Source organism: Homo sapiens, unplaced genomic scaffold, assembly GCF_000001405.40.
Source record: "Homo sapiens unplaced genomic scaffold, GRCh38.p14 Primary Assembly HSCHRUN_RANDOM_CTG33".
Taxonomy (NCBI): Eukaryota; Metazoa; Chordata; class Mammalia; order Primates; family Hominidae; genus Homo; species Homo sapiens.
This window is the reverse complement of record NT_187509.1, coordinates 1-17,263: the sequence shown is the minus strand read 5'-3', so window position 1 is coordinate 17,263 and position 17,263 is coordinate 1. Positions and strand designations below refer to the sequence as shown.

The 17,263-nt window shown below is 46.9% G+C and overlaps 1 long non-coding RNA gene across 4 annotated transcripts; it reads left to right on the top strand.

The window, feature by feature from the left end:
- The first annotated feature begins 3,620 nt into the window (after window positions 1-3,620).
- LOC102723847 (uncharacterized) lies at window positions 3,621-9,825 on the top strand. Of its 4 annotated transcripts, none has more exons than XR_951447.2 (3): window positions 3,621-3,708; window positions 6,754-6,993; window positions 7,626-9,825. It is a non-coding gene; the product is annotated as an uncharacterized LOC102723847 (long non-coding RNA). The 4 variants fall into 4 exon arrangements; XR_951448.2 differs by having other exon boundaries at window positions 3,623-3,708; window positions 6,908-6,993; XR_430626.3 differs by lacking the exon at window positions 3,621-3,708 and adding an exon at window positions 6,450-6,554.
- Window positions 9,826-17,263: the final 7,438 nt, after the last annotated feature.

Here is a 17,263-nt window from a genome sequence, read left to right as displayed (position 1 = left end):
TTGCCTCCGGTGTCACACGTTAACACCAACTGCTGTGGGATTGGCCAGTGCCACGCGTGGTCACATGGTCTCCCCCTGGATTTCGCCTCTCTTCCTCTTTGCAGTTGTCCTGTTAAGCACAGTCGGCTTTCCGGAACCCCTGGGCTTTTACAAGCGGGGTAGGCCACTGCTCTTTCAAAGGAGGAGGGAGGCAGAGGGCTGATGGATGAGTGAATTTGCTCTGACACTAGGCCTTGAGACCTATGGGATCATTTTGTGCTGCAGCGAGGCCCTGCCGGCCTGATCACGTGTGGTGAGCCCATCCTATGTCACTCGGAGGGGGCCAGAATGGGATCTCAACGGGAGTCCAGAGAACACAGCAGGCGTCCTGAAGCTCCCCCTCCCTTGGTGGAAGTCGGCTGAAGCAGGTCCTGAGGACAGGAGCCCTGGGGGTTTGGGCCTGGGACAGGAACAGACACCCGTGGCCCCCTCTCCCACGCCGCCTGTAACAGGACCCAAGACACAGGCGCTGCCGGGGCGGCAGCAGGAGCATCGCGGCCGCCGCGCGGCGGTGGCGATATTTAAAGGGGACGCAGCCTATCTGTCAGGAGTGGAGCGTGAGTCGGCTCAGCCAATGCGCATGCGCTAGGCGCCAGCGGTTTCTCCCTTCACAGTGGTTCCCACGGGTGTCTTAGACACTAGTCCCCGAGGCTTGGCAGAGCAGGAGCCCTCCGTGGCAGTGCTTGGGTATCGAGGCTCTGAGGCTCCGGCCTCACCTTTCCACGAGGTCGAAGGGAACCTCTCCTGATGACAGCAGTCGCAAAGGGCCGACCATGATGATGAAACCCCAGGCGGAGACGGGGGAAGCAGCACGGGATCCCAGCCTCAGGCCTGCACGGACGGTGTTGGTTGGGGTGAGTCTCACCAAAAGTCGTGCCGCCGTCCGTGATCTCGAGGACGGGTCGGCCTGCGTGCCCCTCGGCTGCTCTCTCACCCGAGGGTCGTTCTCCTCCAGAGCAGAACCCCGGATCCTCAGGGGTTGCCTGGGGGTGTGTGTTTCAATGCCTCTGCTGTATGACTCTGCGTGTGTGTGCGTGTGTGTCTGTGTGTGTGTCTCCCATTCTCTCTTCTCTCTCTGTCTCTCACTCTCTGTGTGTTTCTTTCCCACTCTCTGTGGGTTTGTACCAGCCGAAGTTGCGTCAGGGCTACCAGGTCGGTGGAGGATTGGGGGTGTTGCGAAATTGGCAGAAACCTCTTTGCTCCTCTGGTAGGCATTTGAAAACGTGGCTTGGGTCAGGCACAGGAGGCCCCCCTACCCCACGGTTCCCAGGTGTTGTTTGTTTTTCCTTGGCGTTGACGGAAATGTCACCCGTTTCCCCCTTCCACCGGCATATCCCTGGACCCCACCCTTCGTTTCGCCGTCGCCCCGTATGCCTCCGGTGACACACATTAACACCAACTGCTGTGGGATTGGCCAGTGCCACGCGTGGTCACATGGTCTCCCCCTGAGTTTCGCCTCTGTTCCTCTTTGCAGTTGTCCTGTAAAGCGCGTTCGGCTTTCCGGAACCCCTGGGCTTTTACAAGCGGGGCAGGCCACTGCTCTTTCAAATGAGGAGGGAGGCAGAGGGCTGATGGATCGGTGAATTTGCTCTGACACTAGGCCTTGAGACCTATGGGGTCATTGTGTGCTGCAGCGAGGCCCTGCCGGCCTGACCAGATGTGGTGAGCCCATCCTATGTCACTCGGAGGGGGCCAGAATGGGATCTCAACCGGAGTCCGGAGCACACAGCAGGCGTCCTGAAGCTCCCCCTCCCTCGCTGGAAATCCGCTCAAGCAGGTCCTGAGGACAGGAGCCCTGGGGGTTTGGGCCTGTGACACGACGAGACACCCGCGGCCCCCGCTCCCACGCCGCCCCAAACAGGACCCAGGACACAGCCGACGCCGGAGCGGCAGCAGGAGCATCGCGGCCGCCGCGCGGCGGTGGCGATATTTAAAGGGGACGCAGCCTATCTGTCAGGAGTGGAGCGTGAGTCGGCTTAGCCAATGCGCATGCACTAGGCGCCAGCGGTTTCTCCCGTCACAGTGGTTCCCACGGTTGTCTTAGACACCAGTCCCCGAGGCTTGGCAGAGCAGGAGCCCTCCGTGGCAGTGCTTGGGTATCGAGGCTCTGAGACTCGGGCCTCACCTCTCCACGGGGTCGAAGGGAACCTCTCCTGATGACAGCAGTCGCAAAGGGCCGACCATGATGATGAAACCCCAGGCGGAGACGGGGGAAGCAGCACGGGATCCCAGCCTCAGGCCTGCACGGACGGTGTTGGTTGGGGTGAGTCTCGCCAAAAGCCTTGCCGCTGTCCGTGATCTCGAGGACGTGTCGGGCTGCGTGCCCCTGGGCTGCTCTCTCACCCGATGGTCGTTCTCCTCCAGAGCAGAACCCCGGAGCCTCAGGGGCTGCCTGGGGGTGTGTGTTTCAATGCCTCTGCTGTATGACTCTGCGTGTGTGTGTGTGTGTCTGTGTGTTTGTCTCCCATTCTCTCTTCTCCCTCTGTCTGTCAGTCTCTGTGTGTTTCTTTCCCACTCTTTGTGGGTTTGTGCCAGCCGAAGTTGCTTCAGGGCTACGAGGTCGGTGGAGGATTGGGGGTGTTGCGAAATTGGCAGAAACATCTTTGTTCCTCTGGTAGGCATTTGAAAACGTGGCTTGGGTCAGGCACAGACGTCCCCCACACCCTCCGGGTCCCAGGTGTTGTTTGATTTTCCTTGGCATTGACGGAAAGGTCACCCGTTTCCCCCTTCCACCGCCACGTGCATGGACCCCACCCTTCGTTTCGCCGTCGCCCCGTTTGCCTCCGGTGTCACACGTTAACACCAACTGCTGTGGGATTGGCCAGTGCCACGCGTGGTCACATGGTCTCCCCCTGGATTTCGCCTCTCTTCCTCTTTGCAGTTGTCCTGTAAATCATGGTCGGCTTTCCGGAACCCCTCGGCTTTTACAAGCGGGGCAGGCCACTGCTCTTTCAAAGGAGGAGGGAGGCAGAGGGCTGATGGATGAATGAGTTTGCTCTGACACTAGGCCTTGAGACCTATGGGGTCATTGTGTGCTGCAGCGAGGCCCTGCCGGCCTGACCACATGTGGTGAGCCCATCCTATGTCACTCGGAGGGGCCAGAATGGGATCTCAACGGGAGTCCAGAGAACACAGCAGGCATCCTGAAGCTCCCCCTCCCTTGGTGGAAGTCGGCTGAAGCAGGTCCTGAGGACAGGAGCCCTGGGGGTTTGGGCCTGGGACAGGACCAGACACCCGTCGCCCCCTCTCCCACGCCGCCTGATACAGGACCCAGGACACAGGCGCTGCCGGGGCGGCAGCAGGAGCATCGCGGCCGCCACGCAGCGGTGGCGATATTTAAAGGGGACGCAGCCTATCTGTCAGGAGTGGAGCGTGAGTCGGCTCAGCCAATGCGCATGCGCTAGGCGCGAGCGGTTTCTCCCGTCACAGTGGTTCCCACGGTTGTCTTAGACACCAGTTCCCGAGGCTTGGCAGAGCAGGAGCCCTCCCTGGCACTGCTTGGGCATCCAGGCTCTGAGGCTCCGGCCTCACCTTTCCACGGGGTCGAAGGGAACCTCTCCTGATGATAGCAGTCGCAAAGGGCCGACCATGATGATGAAACCCCAGGCGGAGACGGGGGAAGCAGCACGGGATCCCAGCCTCAGGCCTGCACGGACGGTGTTGGTTGGGGTGAGTCTCACCAAAAGCCTTACCGCTGTCTGTGATCTCGAGGACGGGTCGGCCTGCGTGCCCCTCGGCTGCTCTCTCACCCGAGGGTCGTTCTCCTCCAGAGCAGAATCCCGCAGCCTCAGGGGTTGCCAGAGGGTGTGTGTTTCAATGCCTCTGTTGTATGACTCTGCGTGTGTGTGTGTGTCTGTTTGTGTGTCTCCCATTCTCTCTTCTCTCTCTATCTCTCAGTCTCTGTGTGTTTCTTTCCCTCTCTCTATGGATTTGTGTGTGTATGCCCGTGTGCATGTGTGTCTTTGGCCGAATGTGCCCTGTGCGGCACAAAGTGGTTTGTCGCATGGTGGCCTGTCTTTGGCGAGCCTCTTTCTGCTTCTCTGCCTGGGTCATGAAGCCGGCTGTCAATCATTTTTGCCGCGGCGGATCCGCTTTGGGTGTGTGAAAGCCTGGCCCACGTGAGAAGACGCGTCGCTCCCGGAGCAAGTGAAATCTCATCCCCATCCTGTGCAGCCTCTTTTCTAGGATCAAGATGAACATACTGCAGCGGAGGACAAGAGCCCCAGAGGAACTCTTTGTCCCACAGGAGAGCAGCGGATCCACGCTAGAGAAGACGCTTGTATCTCTTCACGGCTCTTCTCTGAGAAATGAAGCCACTCCACGATACAGTCAGCAAGAGGAAACCGGGAATGGAAGATGGCAACAATCCCTGTCACTGGAACGCTGGCCTCTCTGGACAAGCCACCCTTTTGGAACCCCACCCCTTACACCCGTGGCCGTGGCACAGTGCTGTATCCTGCCTGTGCTCTGGCCTCTGCTCTCTCCTCCCTCTGGCTCTGCCTCCCCTATTTCTCAGGGGCCTGGATGCGTTTCGCTCTGACCGAATGCCTTCAACAAAGATGACTTCCCAGTCCGTCAAGGAGACACTTCCTGGAGGTCCGTGTCATGATCGTTTCTGTCTCCAAACCTGTTTCTGCTTAATTGGGCAGGTATCATGACCCAGGAGCTCTTGGCTTCCATACGTGTCTCAGGCAGGGAAGCTTTCTTCTTCCCCACGTTTCCCCTCATGGGTGGGTGGATTGCCTAGAATGAGTGCTACGAGACCGTGACTGGCCTTGTCTTCCAGGACAGGTGGTGTCCCATTTCCTCTGCATTTCCTGTCTCATTCTTGAGGGACATCCTCTCCTCTGCTCCTGGGTGGCCTGACTCCCTTGATCTTCTGGAAGAGCTGATGTGGGCTTGAAGCCCCAGCTGTGACAATAAGAACACAGTGACTCGTGACTACGTCTTGACTGAAATGCAGGCCTTGAATCTAATCATTACGTTGAAAAGAGGTGTTGAGCCTACGAAATGAAGGCATGTCTGGAAAAAGAGACACAGCAATATGTTACAGCCAAACTATAACCTAAATCCCACGAACGCATGTCATCCCACCTGCTATTCGTTTCTGTCAGAGCTGTCACCCAGTGATCTACAAACGAGAAAGGGGAGAAACAGCTTTGAAAAGAAATGCTACCTTTTGGGTAGTGAAGGCAGGTATGTGGCTGATACCTCATGCTCCTTGTGTTATTTCCACCCCTTCGGTGGTACTCCATGAATTTCACCCCACATCTGAGAAATGGCTGGTTCAGCAAGCTAACAGCATAGAGATCCTACTCTTTTCTATTTTAACCAAAAAAATTCCTAAGTGGTATTCCTTAAATCTTGAGCAAGTACGATTCCTTAAATCTTGAGCAAATCTTGAGAAAACTGTGTCCTACTAAAATTAAAAGGTATTCTCCTGGGAAGTGGGCCCTATGTCTATTAAACATACTTAGCAAAATCTCTTGCTGTGTCGCTATTTCCAGAAGGTCCTTAGCACTCACCAGGAACAGTGGTTGCCTCTAGGAATGAAATGGGATGACGGAAGACCTGGGGAGCCGTGGCAGGAGGAGACACTCATGATGCGCCTTTTGGCCATAGGTAGTTATTTTCCACATGCATGGAGTGCCTTGTATTGAACCAGAACTAGTAATTATAATACCTTGCATTTATATAATGTTTTGCAGCTGTATTAATGTCTTCATATCAGTTCTCTCATCTGAGTCTCTGTTGTTTGCATGAGGTTGCATTACTAGCTCCATTTTGCCACAGAGGAAATTGAATTCAAAGAATTCAAAGGGCTTTAGAGATTTACTATGAGGAAATATTGGAGGCCAAGCTAAAACGTAAGCTTCCAAACACTCAGCAAATCTTTCTTCCACCACACCACATTACTCTCAAGGAGGAGGGAGAGAAGAAATGAGGAAAAAAAGCCAAATTTTTTCCTTCAAAGGTAAGTAGTTAGAATCATCAGTTTTGGAATGTATTATCAGTAAATGAACCAAGGTGATGTTCCTGAGGCCAATTTAAAATCTAATTCAAATTATTTTAATTATTAAACAATAAGATGTCTTCCCTTTATGTTTAATTCAACAAGCATAAAGAACAGCATGAATTTTAATTATCTGAGAATAATTAGGAACATATTTCTTTCCTATCACTCTTAGGGCCAAATCACATTTCTAAAGTGAAACCTAATCTAAGAACTTTCCAATACAATATCATATAATTAGGTAATTTAAAAATATATTTTGAAAATGAAATCTCTAAGCATCATTCATTAACAGACTCTGATATTCCCTTCAGTCACTGTCATGGCTAAGAAAGCAACTCCAACCAACACACTGCAAATATGAAGGACCACGAAAGGCACGCAGGCTCTGGTTTGCATAGTGAAGATGAGCGTCTGTGTTCCTAAGCATGAAGGAGGACCACATGAGTATCCTGGACACCTACTGCATGAATGTATTCGCCCTTTCAGATCTAGGGACCTGGTAACCATTTATTATTTGTACTCTGATTTTCTTCCATTTCTTTCTCCAGTCCATAAATGTAACTTAAGTGACTTATTAACACTGATGGTTTGATCACCAATAGCATGTTCCAGTTTCAGTCTTAGTGTAGGTGCCCTTATTACAGACTTGAGATAAAGTCCAGGGCTAACCACTCTTACAAATTTACACTTTGCTAAAGGGTACCTTGGGACAGAGGGAGTGCAGAGCAGAGAAAACCTACCTGTGCAACTGAGAAGGCCGCTCAGGCCACAGGGACAGGGCAGGAATGCTCTCAGGAGTGTCCCCTGAACCTGAACTTGATTTCACGCCATCACCTTCCACCTCTTAACCAGCATCTCCTGGACAGTCAGCCGAGTGTTTCCATGATACCAGCCATACCTGATGCCAGGAGACTCGCTACACTTGGAAGCTCTTCAAGGTGGGACTTTCTGTCTTGTTCAGTTTTTCATTCTCAGTAGTCAACACAGGACCTTATACTTAAAGGAAATAAGTATAATGTCCTAACAAGTGCTTCTGGAATAAATGATCATGGCTGAAATGAGCATTTGAAATGATGATATATCTAGAAAGAACAGAAAATATACACTGGACGTATTTTAGGTGGCTGAGATTATTGAATGGGAAAATAGTGAGATCTTACAATTGAATGGGTATCATAAATGCTTCCTGTATAATATCTGATTTTGCCCTTATCACAAAGAATTCATATAACCAAAACTATATCCCTAAAAATGTCTTCCTAAACATGAAAACAAATTATTTGACTTCATAATGCCGCTTTTTACCCCAAAGTGTCTGACCCTTTCACTAAACATTACTCGGTGTTAAATAGTATAGATATAATTTCTCTGAAATTCACTGAATATGATTTTCAAATGCTGTAATTCCTAAAAATAATATCCAGGCTGCCTTTAATTTCTCATGTCAGTAATAATTAATGTCCCTACGAAGCTTATGGGCAATCAGAAACATTTGTTTATAACATACTGAAGAATTTTTAAACAACCACAGAATATGAATATAATAAGATAAAATATTAAATATTTCCAGGCATGCTTATCTTTGTGAACTGAATCTTGGAGAAGCAGGATTGAAAATAAGAGCTATCTTTGAGGCTCTAGCACCTACAAGAGACACCCTCCCTCTCCACCATGGATCACCTGTCTCACCCGTGTGAGTCTCCACACAGAAACCAGTCATGGCCCTGCCTTTGCCCCCCTTGAAATCACCCAAGAGGATGCTTCAAACTCAGGCAAGCACAACTGATACTCACTCTGCATGCAACAGCAGGGGAGTGACCTTACAAGAAACTAATGGGCCTCACTTCCTGAGAATCACTGTCAGAGCCCATAACATAAGATAAATCACAGCCAAGGATTTTTGAAAAGTTTCCTGATGAGAGAACCATGACCTTTTCAAGGGTAGTGATGGATTGATCAGGGCAAGCAATAGGTAGATTTTTTAAAACAAGCCTGGCACAAAAACAATGATATATATCTACCAAAGTTGGCTAGAATACCTGGCTGATGTCCCAGTCAGGAAACACAGGAAAAGGTTACATCTGTAGAAAAAAAACAGCTTGTTAAGCAAAACAATGCAGTCAAAAACCAAGCTCACTGTAAGAAATGCCATGTGGGCCAGTGGGGACGGCCATGCCGAAAGCGCTCAGTGCTCCTGAAGCTGGGTGGCAGGTGTTTTCACACACAAAGGCCTTCCTTGCTCGGGCCATGGGATAAGCCTTTGAGTGGAGACCTAGCAAGGAGCTTTGAAGTCTGCGTTGGGGGTGGAAGGTGGCAATCCCATTAGACAGCTCTCCCTGGCGTGAATTTATGAAGCCCCATGCAGACTGTGACTTTTAAAATAATCATTTAGTTGGTTCTAGCACATATCGCAGGTTTCATTACAGGCTGCCCCTTAACGAGCATTGTAACCTGGAGGAAAGAATCCAAATTCTTTAGTCACCACCTAACTCCACATTCATTACCTTGTTGCCCAGGGTGGAGTCCAAAAGCAGCAACTATGTTTATTTCTCCATAGAAAATAAATGTTCACCAAGGCACGTCTGTTCTATTACTTTTTTATTCTTAACTAGACCGTTAATATAATTGTTGGTTGCATTGATTTCAACTTCCCCACACGATGCAATCGGCTTTCTGCCGTATTTCAATCACACTAACCAAGAGAGACATCAGACATTCAGAATAGACTCTGGACCAAAACCGAGGGTAGGGGAGAGGTGGGCGGGCCAGGCACAGCTCTGCTGAAGCACTGGTTTGACATGTCGAGTTGAAGTGTTTCTACTCAAAACACCTGTCTCCCTGCCAAGGTGAAGGCTAGATGGTAAAAAAGAAAGTTCCCTTTTTTCTGATAAACTAGGCTGTCTCCATAGGAAGTACCCTGAAGGCCCCCAGCTCCGACTCCGAGAGCAGAGCCCAGACTCTCCTACTTTGGACGGACATGAGCTCTATGCCTCTTGGGGTTTCTCTGCCTGCCCAGTCACCCTGGATAACGTGCTTGCCCTAGATTGTCTCCTAGGCCAAGTCCTCTCCAAGTTCTTGGCCCTTTGTCCTAAGGTTGGATCTCTTCCTCTCGCTTCCCTTGCTCCGAGCTGTGTCTCTGGATACACCCCCTGCAAACTACGCTTCCTGAGCTCGGCTGGCATCTGGCTGTGTTCAGCAAATGGGAAGCCCAGACAGGGGACTGGAGAGCAGGAAGACGGGAGAACAAGGAGATTTCTCCTCCTTCAGCAGCCACAGCAGCAACGGCGTGTCCTCCACAGTTAACTGGAAGAAAAAGCCTGAGTCCTTGTCTCCTCCTGGATTGCCAAAGGGTCTTCTCCTTAGACATGTAAATACACAAATATTCGCATTTTTTAGTAACCCTTGAAAGATTTAACTGCCGGAATTTAACACCAGTAAAAACAAATGTAGCAATATGAAATTGCAACTCACTGAGGGCATTACGATTCAGAAAGTGAAGAAATGCGGGGCCAGCTCCAGCCGCAGCGCAACTGTCCACGAGTCCGGCCGCAGCGCACCTGTCCCCAAGTGTCCACCTCTAAGGCAGTGTTCTTCAACACGCACCACGCGCATCCTCAGCTGGGCATTTCCAGAGGGAGCAAGTCTCTGAGAGGCAGGTCTAGCGCTAAGCTTTCAACAAGTCGCAGGCTATACTTCCGAACACAATGAAATGAGAATGACTTCACATCTCAGCAGAGCCAAAAGCAGTAGACAAATAAACAATGATGAGATTTGTTTTTTTTTTTTCTTCCCTCTTTCCGGACACTCACTCCTGCCTCCCATCGTACCGTCCTGGAAACAGGAAGAAGGTGTGTATCTTGGTACAAGCATCAACTATGCACAGGTCCACTTTAATGGGGGAAAGGACAGGGAGTGAGATAAATAAATATGATGCGATGTCTCCAAAAGAGGAACATTATACTGGGAACATCCATACACGGTTCAAAATTGCATCCATATTTAGTTATTACTTAGAAATCATCAAGGAAATAAATGCTTTCTTTTTTTTTTCTAGGACTTCTTTAAAGAGAGGTTAGGGAAAGCTTTCAGTTATATTTTCTGTCACCTTCCGCAATTTTAAATTGGATGAAATAGTGGGAGACTTTGTTTTTATGGCTTTCTCCTTTCAACTATTGTAACAAACAGCTACCTGTGCTTAGCATGCTTAAAGGCTGGATGGGACCATCTCTATATTATGGCCCAAACAAAATTGGCTTCTGGAACAAGTGTGGCTGTTTTGAACTCGATCCACTTGAGTCGGAGATGAGGTTGACAGAGGGAGGACCAACTGTGTATAAAGCTCCTTTAGGGAATATCCTGCTAATGTGATCTACATTTCAAAGTGGAAATCAAATATTCACTGCCACTGGAGTCTTGATATTTCTAGGATTATCAAAAGTACTTTCCTCTGACACAGGAGATATCATAACTTGACTTGGGGTTGAATTCAAATGCTGCCACAAAATAGCTGTGCATGACACCTCATCTTTTTTTCATCTTTAAGACGAAGTCCTGAAATTTCAGGACACTTCCAACTTCAAAACGTTCATTCCATGCAACAGAAAGGCAACACGTTGATGACTCCTGTCCCGAATCATATTCTATCTTGTACCTTTCTATCAGTCGGTAAAACTGCAGATGCTGACTTAGACAACAAGCTTTATATCATTGACTACCAAACAATGTCAGGTTGAACTTTGTACGAAGGGGTAGGTTGGTAAACACCTGGCCAGTGTGGTGAAGTGTGGCTGGTGTTGGAGGGAAAGGAAGAGGAGATGACAGTCACATTAGGAAGCTGCTCTGCCCTGAGATGAGCTCAGTGATTCACAAAACGCCATCGCCAAACCTGGCACCTACTGCCAGTCCCCAGTGACTCCCTGGGTAATAAAGAAATTCCGGGGCTCTTAAGAGTCGTCGTCTGTTTGAGGGGTAGCTCTAATGTGCCTAGATCTAAACAGAACCACTTAAAATGCCGACAGAATAGAGAAACCTGTAGTGGAATCCCCTGACTTCCCAGCTTTCTAGGGCCTGCTCTGAAGATTCTGGTCCTGGTCCCCACCTACAGCTAAGAATAGATTTCAGAGGCCGAGGCAGGTGGATCACGAGGTCATGAGATCGAGACCATCCTGGCTAACACCGTGAAACCCCGTCTCTACTAAAAATACAAAAAATTAGCTGGCTTGGTGGTGGGCGCCTGTAGTCCCAGCTACTAGGGAGGCTGAGGCAGGAGAATGGCGTGAACCCAGGAGGCGGAGCTTGCAGTGAGCCCAGATCTCGCCACTGCACTCAAGACTGGGAGAGAGAGCAAGACTCCAACTCAAAAAAAGAATAGATGTCAGGTGGGCACAGGATCCAAACTGTGGACTAAAGTTGCCATTAGAAGCTTGCTCTGAAATTGCTTTACAATCCTGTACTCTTTCTATCCACCAATTTTGACACCAATGGGATATGAAACTTTACGTTTAAACTCAGTATCACCCTTTCATGTGAATTCAGAAATTCCAAGTTGGTGATCATTTTTATATGACGTTAGCAACAATTAAACTAACGTCTCTTTGCCTGGACTTCTTTTCCAGAAAGTGTCCTATGTGGTGGAGGGTGGAGGAGTGAAAGGGGGCTAGGAAGAGAGTGTCTAATTTAGTCTTGAAATATTACAGTGGCTTCAATACTGTTGTGTACAGGGATCTTTACTGTTTTACATATTATTTCATGTGTACATGGGCTCAATTACTTTTGAAACAAATTAGCCAAAAAAGATAACTGATGCTTAAGCCTATCACTTAGCTAAATACATATAAGAATAGCTGTATTTCAATAGGCATGAAGACAAGAATAAGGATGAGATCATGTCCTTGGGTGAAGCAAATTTTGGCTTAATTCTCTATTGAATATTTTATCAGGGGAATCAAAAAGTTGAGAAGATTCTGTTCTGCCATGTAAACTAAAAGCCATCCAGTAGATGAGAAATTGAAAACCACAAAGCTTGGGGAAAAAAATGAATGCTTTAGAGCATACATTTTTCCATTAAATTATGCCAATAAACTTAGGACCTTGAAAGTTACTATGCTCAAATATATTTCAAAAGGAAGAAAATGCTCTTTTCAAAGTAGGGACTAGAAATTGAATGTATAGAGTAGCAAGATTTTTTAATTCCACTAGCATAAATAAACCAATTTATTACTTCCTATTAATTCAATATCAATCTGTTTGAATTGAATGTGCATTTATTAATATAGAAGATACCTTTGCAAATTACTCAATTAAAATAAAAACAAGCCTAGGTATATGACTATCTCTATATTTTCTAAGCTTTCCAGATGCATACTTGTTTTCCCACTGGTTGCATAAGAATACCAAACATTAATTGAGGGTTGTTATATCAAAAAGAGTAAGAACAACTCCTGAGATTCGAAAGCCATGGGAAGTTGCTGAGCTCAAGTCTTCATCTCATACTAGTCAAAGTTAGGGATAGTAGAAGAGGAGGGGTTGGATTGAAGTGTAGGAACCCATGTTGCTGCAATGATTGGAAGCTCCTAATTAACAGGAACTATGGAGTGGAATAAAGTGAACTTATCATGGGGACCCTAGTGTTCCCTGTAGTGCTTTCTCCTCCTCTCTACTGGACACTCTTTTTCTTCTTTGTCTTTTTCCATTCAATAAAAGCAAGCCATTTATATGATTCAATAGACTGTGGATTGAGAATCAGAATTTTGGAGTTGTTAGTAATTAACAAAGTAATTATCCAAGCATTTAATTTCACTGGACATGATAGCAGTTGAAATGATGATTTCTTGTTATTCCTTGATTCTACATTTAAAACACATTATTGTCCCATTTTATTTCAAGGAGGAATAAAATAGGAGAGAGAAATATAAAGCAAAGGGAAATGAAGAAAGAAGCTTAAAATGAAATGTGAGACATAATCCCAGGATTATCTTCAGAAAAATTCTTAAATCTTAGTTTGGTTGTGTACAGGTTAATCTATGTAGGCCCTCCTTCTGGGATTTTCTTATCTGTAATAGAAATATTGATTCCACTATGACCTCTGTCTCTCTTGGCTGTTAGAACTCCAGATGCCAATAATGCAGGAAAAGGCACAAAGTGAACATCTTTGTCAAGAGCCATGGATACAGCAACCGCTCACTATATGGTGAAGGGAATACCCTTCTCTGTAGCTAAAAGATGACTCAGTTTCTAAGTTGTTATTTCCACCAAAATATCACATTCTTCCAACTTTCCATCATCATCCACTCCTACCCCAGTGCAATTTATGCAAATGTCAGCACCCTACACCACCCCTTTCCTACACCAACACTTTCCTACACAACCCCTTTCCTACACCAACCCCTTCGTACACCAAATCTTTCCTACATCAACCCTTTCCTACAACACCCCTTTCCTACACCAAATCTTTCCTACACCAAGCCTTTCCTACACCAAGCCTTTCCTACACCAAACTTTTCCTATATCACCCCTTCCCTACACCACACCTTTCCTACACCAACCCTTGCCTACACCAACACTTTCCTGCAACACCCTTTCCTACAACATCCCTTTCCTACACCACCCCTTTCCTACACCACCCCTTCCCTACACCAACCCTTCCCTACACCACCCTTTCCTACACCACCCCTTTCCTACACCACCCCTTTCCTACACCACCCTTTCCTACACCACCCCTTTCCTATACCACCCTTTCCTACACCACCCCTTTCCTGCACCAACCCTTTCCTACACCAACCCTCTCTTCCTGCCTGCTCATCATTCCCTCTTACACGTGTGTGGTCTCATTCACCCTGTGCTCCACTCCCTATCCCTATCCCTCACATGATCTAACTTACAAACCAGGACTCCTTCTCTTTCACATGCCCCAATCCTTCCACCATCCCCACCCAAATCACCTCCCTCAATAAATACACAGAAGTTGGCCAGGAGTGGCAGCTCACCCATGTAATCCCAGCACATTGGGAGGCAGAGGCAGGCAGATCACTTGAGGTCAGGAGCTCAAGACCAGCCTGGCCAACACGGTGAAACCCTGTCTCTACTAAAAATACAAAAAATAGCTGGGCATGGTGGTGTGTGCCTGTAATCCCAGCTACTCGGGAGGCTGACATGAGAATCGTTTGAACCCAGGAGGTGGAGGTTGCAGTGAGCCGAGATCGCGCCAATTCACTTCAGCCTGGACAACAGAGCAAGAATCCATCTCAAAAAAATAAATTAAATAAATAAACAAATACACAGAAGTTATGCAGACAGCTGCACTATCATGAACAGATAACACATTAACTAACATTTTAGTAAGGACACACCGGGAGTGAGTGTTCAGTGGCTGGAGCAAAGGAAGTCATGGAAATAAGTCAGTAGAAATGTTCCAGTTTTGGAAACATGGCATCATGCATGAGATGGGATTTCCAAGACTAGGAATCAGATTTAGTTTTCTTAGGCATGCTGGGACTAAGCATCCTTTCATAACACCAGTGTTTGTGGTATTGGGAATCCCAGTGATCTCACATTGCAATCCTTCATTACCATCATGTGCAAAGCAGCTTTGAAGATGTCTCTGCTCTGAATTGCATTGTCTTCACAGAAAAGTGTGGGGAAGATCCCACTTCTGAGGCTGCAGGACACACAGAATGACCTTTCCTCTGCCATTCCCTGTACGGTGCCATTGGTTGCTTTAAACACATTTTTATTAGAATTGAAACTTTAAACATAGCCTTGCCAGTAGCTTCAAAAAGACACCAGCTAATCTACAAGCATATATGGCCCACCATTTTCTCAAATAGCAATGAGAGTAAAATAAATAGGGTAATATGGTTTATCATTGCCTCAAGCAATGTGCAGAATTGTTAATAGTAGTAACTCCTCTCCCAGAAGGAAAAGAAAAATTTAAAATACGTGAAGCAGCCTTAACAACAATAACAATATAAGCTAACAATGTATTTGTTTTTGAACATCTGCTAAATTCTTTCCCACTATTGCAGCCAGAAGCTATGCCACGCACAGCCAGATAATGTGGGCAGAGGGCACAGAGTCCAGGCACTGTTTAAATGCTGAGATAAGGGAATGTGAGTGCTTCTTTGCTTCAAATGTCCTAAATCAGCTTATTTTTAATTAGCAACAATCATCATACACACACACATTGACATTGAAGCTTCCATAATAGTGTTCTTACATTTTCAATCTGGTTAATTGAATGAGAAAACAAATTCTCCTACTAGATATGTGCTCCAAAGTGAAATTTGTGTTTTCTGTGGGATGAGGAATGCTTTCAAATGGAACATTTCTTGATTAAAGAGCCTGGACCATACAATTCATGTTGTGGGGAGGAAATGTGGCTTCAGAACATAATGAGAACTGGTTCGGTCTGCAGCTTTTCCCGTTCTCATTACGATCTTCACTATGAGAACAGATTCATATTATGGCATTTTCAACTCCTATTGTCAGCTTCTGACACAATATGAGGTATTAGGACAGTAACTGGGGTGATGCCCAGTAAGTTCCGGCCACAAATCCTACACCAATATTATGGTATGCTTCTGGAAAGAGAAAGTACTTGGACCTATTGGCAAATCCCACCAGTCACAGAGCAATAAACAGGGAAGACTGGAATACCAGCCAATCAGATCAACAGATAGGATTTTAAAACACCAAGAGCGTATCACTTTGCATCTTGGAAAACAGTGACTATTTAAATTCTGATCTTGTATTCTCTAACAAATGAGAACAATGAATGTTGCACCCCAGGACATGCTCAGGACCAAAGCACAGTTCAAATTCTGGAAGGACATCACCATGATCCTAAAGTGGGAGGAAAAGCCTCCTCCCCAGTCCTCAGCAAGGACATCACCATGATCCTAAAGCGGGAAGAAAAGCCTCCTCCCCAGTCCTCAGCACTGGACATAGCCAACAGCACACCGGAGTAGGTAGAAGGCAGCAAAATAGCTACTGAAGAGCCACACATGTTTTGGAAAGCAGGTGTATAGTTTGCAACAGTTTTCTTTCCAGAGATATGATTTCTTTTTTATATCAGAGTTTACAAATTTCAGACCCAGTGTTGACTTCACTTGTTATTAGCTTCTGTGTGCCTTTTCCTCATTCATAAAGTGAAGATAACAGTACCTGCCTCGCATACCTAACAGAATCTTGGCAAGCATTAAATGAGATGGTATATATGCAAGCACTTCGATAAGTACAAAGTGTCTTTACAAACATGACACAGTCATTTAAAAATCATCCTTAAGTTAGGCACCCACTGCAAAGTGAGGCCTTATTTGAGGATGTTGTTATAAAATTCATAACTGAGGCCTCCAATTTCAAGGCAAAGTGGTGACAGAAACCTGTGGTGTACAGAATCCCATCGAGGCAAGGGACAGGTATGGGACAGAAGGCTTCATGCACCCCTTCGGGCATGTCCTCTGCAAGCCTCCGGAGCAGGCCCAGAAGTCCTTCTTATGTGCTCTGTGATTTTTCCTTCCAACCGCTTCCCTGACATGGTTGAAAGATATGCACACCAAGGAAGATAATGCAAATGCTACGACGTAGTCACTTTGCAAATGCTGCAATGTTGTCACTCGCCACGCCAGCCAGCACTGGCTCTGGGAAAATGAAAAAGCCTCTGACACATTGAAACTTAGCAGCAACATTCTAACTGGGTTGAGGACAATATTCTTAATCCTCCCTAGAAAGATCAAATTAAATCAGCAGCAGGCTCTGCCTGACACAGCTCTGTGTCACTGACTGTTCCGAGGAGAAACCTAGAGAAGTCTGCAGCTCTTGACTTTGTAACTCGTGTCTTTCTATAGATATTCAGTGAGCAGTGATAAGACATCCCTGCATAAGGATTAGCTCAAGACAGGGAAACGCTGTTAGAGGAGAGAGGTGGAGAACAGACACACATTTTGCCTGCCATTTAATTCAGCTAAAAGCCATCAAATTTCATGGCTAAACTTCAAACATGACTCAGTCTGAGCTTTGATTTTCCTTCCCTTTTCAGCAAGGCAACACATCTGTATATTTCAGCCCAAGCAGCTATGTATTTTAGTGAGTGTATAGTAAAAGCAGATTCTATTAATCATTAATAATTCAGAAATTAGGGGTGCATCCATTAAAAGTTCTACTTAATGTCAATTAAAACTCGAGAGCAGTGGTTTGCAAACTTGACTATGC